The 7,971-nt window shown below is 46.3% G+C and overlaps 1 long non-coding RNA gene across 2 annotated transcripts, besides 2 other annotated features; it reads right to left on the bottom strand.

Annotated features, from left to right (window-relative positions):
- Window positions 407–565: a silencer, noted in NCBI's record as "fragment chr10:88288988-88289146 (GRCh37/hg19 assembly coordinates)". NCBI's record gives its function as "represses an EF-1alpha promoter that drives an FKBP-Casp9 reporter gene in an ReSE screen in both phorbol 12-myristate 13-acetate-treated (for megakaryocytic differentiation) and untreated K562 erythroleukemia cells {active_cell/tissue: K562 | K562(+PMA)}" and the evidence as "EXISTENCE:reporter gene assay evidence [ECO:0000049][PMID:32094911]".
- Window positions 4,695–7,849, bottom strand: WAPL-DT (WAPL divergent transcript). Of its 2 annotated transcripts, none has more exons than NR_186499.1 (2): window positions 7,387–7,849; window positions 4,695–7,307 (listed from the first exon to the last, which is right to left on the bottom strand). It is a non-coding gene; the product is annotated as a WAPL divergent transcript (long non-coding RNA). The 2 variants fall into 2 exon arrangements; NR_186498.1 differs by having other exon boundaries at window positions 4,695–7,287.
- Window positions 7,391–7,950: a silencer, noted in NCBI's record as "silent region_2570". NCBI's record gives its function as "represses an Ori minimal core promoter by ATAC-STARR-seq in GM12878 lymphoblastoid cells {active_cell/tissue: GM12878}" and the evidence as "EXISTENCE:reporter gene assay evidence [ECO:0000049][PMID:35858748]".

Raw genomic sequence — 7,971 nt, 5'->3', positions numbered from 1 at the left:
TGCCTCGGACTCCCAAAGTGCTGGGATTACAGGCATAAGCCACTGCGCCCAGCTACTGAGCTTTGATATCAGTGCTGCCAATATAAATATAAGGCAAGCCACAAAGGTAACTTAATTTTTTCTAGTACCCACATTAAATAAAGGTAAAAAGAAACAGGTGATATTAACTTTAATAACATATTCTATTTAACTTGATATAAAAAAATCATTTCAACATTTAATCAGTGTAAAAAGTATCGAGATATTTTATTTTCTTTTTTTGTAGGAAGCCTTTGAAATCCAGTGTGTGTTCTACATTGTCAGCACTTCTTAACTTGGACTAGCTATATTTCAAGTGCTCAGTGAACACACAGCTCATGGCTACCACACTGGACTGTGCAGCCTGTTCTGGGTGCTGAGCATACAGCAGAGAGCAGAACAGACAAGGTCTCTGCCTTTACACAGTTGACATTCTAACATGGAAGACAGATAATAAAGAACTAGGCTGGGCGGCCGGGCGTGGTGGCTCACGCCTGTAATCCCAGCACTTTGGGGGACCGAGGCAGTGGATCATTTGAAGTCAGGAGTTCAAGACCAGCCTGGCCAACGTGGTGAAACCGTCTCTACTAAAAATAGAAAAATTAGCCGGGTGGTAGTGGCACATGCCTGTAATCCCAGCTACTCAGGAGACTAAGGCAGGAGAATCACTTGAGCCTGGGAAGCAGAGGTTGCAGTGAGCCGAGATTGTGCCACTGCACTCCAGTCTGGGCAACAGAGACCCTGTCTCAAAAACAAACAACAAACAAACAGACAAACAAACAAAAGTAAGCAGGCTGGGTGTGGTGGCTCACAACTGCAATTCCAGCACTTTGGGAGGCCCAGGTGAGAGGATTGCTTGAGGCCAGGAGTTCAAGACCAGCCTGGGCAATGTAGTGAGACCCCATCTCTAAAAAACAAAAAAAAAATTCATTTTTTGAATGTTTCCCTGGGCGTCACTCTTGCCTGTAGTCCCAGTTACTCAGGAGGCTGAGCCTGGGAGGGCAAGGCTGCAGTGAGCCGTGTGTGTGTGCACCACTGCACTCCAGCCTAGGTGACAGAGGGACACCTTATCTGAAAAAAAAAAAAAAAAAAAAAGAGAGATAATTTGGGAGACTGGTGTTAATAATACACCAGTGTTATGATAGAGACTGAGAAGCTGCTTCAGATTGCCTAGGTAGTCAGGAAAGCCTTTTGGAGGCTGAGACCCCAAAAAAGGAGGCATTATCAACGGGAAAATCACTAGTTGTTATCAATTATCTATTGTCACAATGCTGTATAACAAATCACTCTAAAATTCAGAAGCTTAATATAATAAGTAGCTATTATTACTCATGGGCCTACAGGTCATCAGGACAGTTCTAGTCCCAGGTGCGCTCACATCTACATCTTTGGGTGGCTGCAGGTCAGGTGGGTGGCCATGCTGCTCCTGGCTGGGCTTACATGTTTGGGGTCTGCTGGCTATTCACAGGTCAGGGAAGACTTCAGCTCTTTTCCATGTGGCTTCTCATCTTCCATCAAACTAGCCCAGCCCTGTTCTCATGGCAGAAGCAGGGATCCCAAAGAGAATGTGGAAGCGTTTAAGGTTTCTTAAGGCTCAGGCTGAGGACTTTATCACTTCTGTCATTTTCTTTAGGCCAAGGTGAGTTAAAATCCAGCTGAGATTCTGGGAGGAGCTGCCAAGTCACATTGCAAAAGGTGTGGCTACAGGGAGGAGTGAGTGGAAAATTCAGGCAATTTTTGCAATTTATCTCCCATATTACTTTAAAAGCTTTCAATTCTACCAGGAAGAGATAGCAATTCTAACTTGTACAGTATGTGCCCAATAAAATAGCCTCAAAATGCAGAAAGAAAAATAGAACTACAGGGAGAAATGAAAAAGATTACTCTTATAGTGGGAGGTTTTCATGCATGTTTTGCCATTATAGGTCAAGCAGACAAAAGAAATTATTAAAGATATAGAAGAGTTGAACATAACTTATTAGTATTTTTGAGAAAAAGTTTTGCTCTTGTTGCCCAGACTGGAGTGCAATGGTGTGATCTTGGCTCACTGCAACCTCCACCTCCTGGGTTCAAGTGATCCTCCTGCCTCAGCCTCCCAAGTAGCTGGGATTACAGGTACCTGCCACCCGGCTGGCTAATTTTTGTATTTTTAGTAGAGATGGGGTTTCATCATGTTGGCCAGTCTGGTCTCGAACTCCTGACCTCAGATGATCCACCTGCTTTGGCCTCCCAAAGCGCTGAGATTACAAGTGTAAGCTGAACATAATTTTTTTTTTTTTTTTGAGACGGCGTCTCGCTCTGTCGTCCAGGCTGGAGTCCAGTGGTGTGATCTCAGCTCACTGCAAGCTCCGCCTCCTGGGTTCATGCCATACTCTTGCCTCAGCCTCCTGAGTAGCTGGGACTACAGGTGCCCGCCACCACGCCCAGATAATTTTTTTGTATTTTTAGTAGAGACGGGGTTTCACCGTGTTAGCCAGGATGGTCTCGATCTCCTGACCTCATGATCCGCCTGCCTCGGCCTCTCAAAGTGCTAGGATTACAGGCGTGAGCCACCGTGCCTGGCCGCTGAACACAATTTAAAGCTTCAATTAATCCAGGTATTCAGTCAACAAATATTTATAGCACACTTTCTGTGTGTGAGGCACTATTCTAGGTGTGCTTGGCATATAAAATGAACAAAAGTCAGCCATCCTCGTCCTCATGGAGTTTATATTCTTGTGAAACGAAATAGATAATAAACAAGTTCATACACAAAGCAAACGTAATGACTATGTTATGGAGAAAAGCAGCAGGGAAAAGGAGATACAGGGTGCTGGATGACCTTAAATAGCATGGCCAAGGAAAACATTACTGAGAGACACACTTGAGCAAAGACCTGAAAGCATGCAGGGAATGAGTTGTGTGTGTCTCTTGAGGACTAACAGAGGGAACAAGTACGAAGAGGGCCCACAGGCAGGAGCTGGCTTGGCATGTTCTAGTAGTAGACAGAGGCAGGCCCGGCAAGGTAGGAAGGGATAGGAGTACTCAGGGGCCAGATCATGCAGGGCCTTTTCACCGTTAAGAACTTTGGATTTTAGTATTACAGGAGGACCCTTCAGGGTGTTTGACTAGGCGGGTATCATACAGTATTAAGGGTGAGGATCCTGAATAAAAAAGGGCTGTTTCCAGGACAAGGGTCAGGAAGCCAGACTTCTTCGAGGTTGCTTGTACCGGTCCTTGTCAGGCAATGTGCTCCTAGAGAATTTCCTTTGCTTTGTGTTTCATCTACCTAGACAGCAGTGTATTCCCCAGAGGACGTCACTATCTCCAGAGAACATATTCCAATTATCCTGGGAAATATGATAATTGGGATTATAACAGTACTCATTTTCTCAATTCTCAGAATGAAAACCTATCCAAGGCAAGAACAAAAGTTCTCCAGAAAGCACTCCCCTCCCAATTGTGAAAACCCAGTTAACATTTTATTAGAGCTACCAGGTTATGTGAAACTGTTGATAGTTTTATCACTTTCCTTTCAAGATATAGGCAGGGGCAGTGGCTCATGCCTGTAATTCCAGCACTTTGGGAGGCCAAGGTAGGTGGATGGCTTGAGCCCAGAAGTTCAAGACCAGCCTGGGCAACAAGGTGAAACCCTATCTCTACCAAAAATACAAAAATTAGTGGGGCATGATAGCATGGACATGTAGTCCCAGCTACTTGGGAGGCTGAGGTGGGAGGATGGCTTGAACCCTGGAGGTGGAGGTTGCAGTGATTGGAGATCGTGCCACTACATTCCAGCCTGGGCGACAGAGCAAGACTCTGTCACCAAAAAAAAAAAAAAAAAAAAAAAAAAAAAATGTGGCCAGGCATGGTAGCTCACACCTGTAATCCCAGCACTTTGGGAGGCTGAGCCAGGCGGATCACAAGGTCAAGAGATCGAAACCATCCTGGCCAACATGCAAAACACCATCTCTACTAAAATACAAAAAATGAGCTGGGTGTGGTGGTGTGCGCCTGTAGTCCCAGCTACTGGGGAGGCTGAGGCAGGGGAATCGCTTGAACCAGGGAGGCAGAGATTGCAGTGAGCCGAGATCGCGCCACTGCACTCCAGCCTGGTGACAGAGCGAGACTCCGTCTAAAAAAAAAAAAAAAAAAATATATATATATATATATATAATATATGTATATAATTTTACATGAAAGAAGGAAATAAATGGGTGCTTTTATTCAACAAATATTTATTGAGCACCTACTCTTGTGCCAGGCAGTCTTCTAGGTGCTAGGGTTGCAGCAGAAAACAAGACAGGCAGAGATCCCTGCCTTCAGAGGGAGCACAACATTTAAGATAAACATGCAAAATGCCTGATATGTTAGATGGGAAGATAAATGCCCTTAAAGAAAGTAAAGCAGGGACAGTGACATTTAGGAGTGAGGATGTTGCAACAATTTAAGATAGGTTGGTCAGGGGAGATTCATTGAAAAGTCCCATCTGAGTGAAAACCTAGAGGAGAGAATTGAAGCAGGCTGGTATCTGGGGGAGTTGTAGGCAGAGGGAATAGGAAATACAAAGGCCCTAAGGTGGGGAAACAGCAAGGAGTCAGGTGTGGGCAGAGCAGAAAGTTGGGGCTGCATGAGCAAAGGGCAGGGCCTGGCCCACATCTCGTAGAGCTTTGTAATATAACCACAACATGCAAGTGTACAATTTAACATTTTATTCCACATCCGATGGCAAAGAAAAATTGACTGCTACCAATATGGTAGTTTCTGACCTGTAGTTCCCTAAATAGAATTCTATAAGTTGTAATACACTTTACTACACATTATCAGAAAAAGACTAAAAGTTCTATTTAGTAACTCCAATTCTGACAGTTCTCATGTCTGGGCTAGAACAAGGGCATGGCAATGGCAGAACAGATGTCTTCTATTTTCTTTGCAGGATTTTCTTTTTTCAGAGGAAAGTACAGGTATGGGCCCACTCAAGTGGAGCTCCAGGTTAGGGGGTTCTGTCCTCACCCAGGCAGCACACAGGAGGGCAGAGGCCCCTCCTAAGGGTACTACAAACTTGGCTCTGATCCATGATTTCAGTTTCTGACAAACACAACATTCAGTGGGGGAAAGAAAATCAGGTATCTGAGAGCTTGCACACAGGCATTCTAGCAAAACCAAAAGCACCTACTGGCTACTTGATGTTAGTGTGAAGATTCTCATGAAATGGAGACAACCATTCTAGGGGTTGAGGTGGCCAGGGGGATGGAGCCTGAGCTGAGAGAACTAAGAAAACAAAAACAATACAACAAAAAGCTGTTCAGCCATGTGTTACCCACACTGGAGTTCTGTTTGCTCATTCTGGTGTGGAACCCAGGGCCCTGGTAAGGGAATGAGGGGACTTCAGGGCATTTGCTTGCCTCAGTGGAAGCAGGGAGGTAAGGGGTTAAGGTGGTGGTACAGCCTGCAGGGCCAGGAGTCTGAACTCCCTCCAGGAGGGGCCCGAGGGGTGTCTTTAGTGTGAGCCACACAAGGGTACAGAGCCCAGAAGAGCTCTGCTTAATATTCATATACTAAGCTTCCACAGACTAAATACACACACACACACACACACACACACACACTCACACACACTTTACTTCTCAAATCATGTACCACTTTCTACCAGATTCAAGAACACCAAGAAGTACTAAAGGGTATCCAACCGTCAAGAAAAAGTTTGACTCCCTCATTAGTTGTAACATACAAGTCTTCCCATTTCCTTACTTGTAAGATAGAGTAATGGACTGGGAAGCAGACAAGGCCCCTGAACAGCCTAGCATCTTACCTGATGCATAGGAGGTTCTTAATCATCTCCCTTCCTCTCCCTCATCCTAACGAAAAATACTAGATTGCTGTCAAATGCTATGGGTATACTTTAAATCAGTGCTTGTCAAACTTTAATGTGCAGCCCAATCAGCTGGGGGAATCCTGTTAAAATGCAGGTTCTGATTCAGTGGAGCTGGGGTGAGGGATAGGAATTATGCGTTCCTTACAGGCTTCCAGGTGATGCTACACTGCTGATTGGGGATCATTCTTTGAGTGGCAAGAATTTGACACTACTAAGTTTCATTACTTAACACAACCATCACATAAAAGCCCTCAAAAGGCACCAGTCTAAACAATAAGCCCTTCCACTTCAGCCTCATGCAGGCACTGACCCTGCCAAGTGTCCAGCACTAGAGAGGCCAGGCATAATAGACATATCCTTTGGTCTTGGGAGGATCACGACACCCTCCTACAGGAAGATCTTGCAATTGTTTCCTCACCTCTTCTGGTTTTTTGATCTTACCTTTTGCCTCTGATGATAATTACCCTTTAATTACCACCCACCACCTTGTCATCTAAATAATTATAGTAAGTGCAGCCTGCACCTCTGCCAGAAGATCTTTAAACAAAATGATAAAAACAAGTTCCTAAACTGCCAATTAAAAAAAGAGACAAAACTGACCCAAATAAAACAGTCATGTGCATCCCACCCACAGTGGAAGACATGGACTTGTTTTTCATATAAACTACAGAAGAAGTTGATTTATTTTGAAACAAGAAAAAGTACTGATTCAGTATTTAGGAAATTGTAAATGTCAGAATATAAATTCTGCAGTCAGGTAGGCAAAACAATCCAACCACACTAAAATCCACCTTAAATTCCTCTTGGGAAGAGCTGCAGGGTCTCTGAACTATTTTTCCTTTATTTGGAGTTTCCCCGATTATACCGGAGGGAGCTGGATAACTTCTGGGTGCATTAAAAGCAAATTATCCATTTGTGGGAGAAGGGCGGGCTTCTCACTGAAAGCAATTAGTAGTTTTCTAATTTCCCAGGTGGGTCTCCATTAACCGCCTAACAAACACCAAGGCTGTCGGAGTCCGACGAATCATGCACCTCTCTTAGGGGGAACTGGTTGCGCTACTCTTTAGAACGCTGTTTTCCCATGGTAGCCTTAAAAAAAACTTACCAATTTTCTGAATTAGGTAACACATTGAATGGGAAAAACCTAAGATAGCACAAAAAGGCGTACAGCGAAAAATTAAGACTCCTTCCTCCCGTCATCCGCCACCTCACTGTCCTCCCTAGAGGCAATCGCTGGTTCACTTCTTTAAACTTTTTATTATGGAAAATTTCAGATACACAAGTAAAGAGACTGTATGATGAGCACATATGCTCGCATCACGCAGCTTCAACGATGAAAAACGTTCTGCCAGCTTGTTTTATTCCTCTCCCCCAGTTTTCATAGGCGTATTTTACAGTCCTGACACCAGATCACTCTGTCAACACATCAGTAGGTCTTAAAAAAAAAAAAACAAAAAACCATAACCACATTACCGTTACCACACCCAACAAAGTTAATGATAATTGCTCAATACCATCCAATATTCTCGGGGCCACTTTCAATCGGTGAGGGGCAGACGGACTTAGAGGAAGGACTGCAGGGCTGGAGGGGCGCGAAAAAGCGAGGGGCGACGCTGCTCGTGGCCTCGGGTGTCCGGCGCCTCGCGGTCCCCGCCATCGTCACCTACGCCGGGCCAGGACCGACCAGGCCAGGTCGAGGGCGGCTCTTGACCACGCGCCCCCTGCCTCCCAGCTCCCGGGCGGCGGCCTCCGCAGGCCCGGCACAGCTGCACAGCCCGCGGTCCCCAGGCACCGGCGGGTCCCTGGAGGGGAAGCGATTGATACAGCTGCCTGCACTGCGCCACCCGCCCGGCTGCCCATCTCCGTGGCACCTGCGTCTCCCGGCTGGGCCGGGAGCTAGAAGTGGCTGCCGAGACCGGGAGGGCCCGGCCAGTCGCCCGCTCCCGCTCCCGCGCCTGGTCCTCGGCCCGCGACCTCGCGGACCTGGACTACAACTCCCGTCGGGCTCCGCGGCCGGGCCAATGGCGGGCGCCGGAGCATGCGGGGCGCAGCGCCTGCGCGGCGGTTTGAGTAAGCGGCTGCGCGATTGGCTGCGGGGT

Source organism: Homo sapiens, chromosome 10, assembly GCF_000001405.40.
Source record: "Homo sapiens chromosome 10, GRCh38.p14 Primary Assembly".
In the NCBI taxonomy this organism is placed as follows: Eukaryota; Metazoa; Chordata; class Mammalia; order Primates; family Hominidae; genus Homo; species Homo sapiens.
Note: the sequence above shows the minus strand (reverse complement) of the source record. Positions and strands in the feature narration are given on the sequence as shown.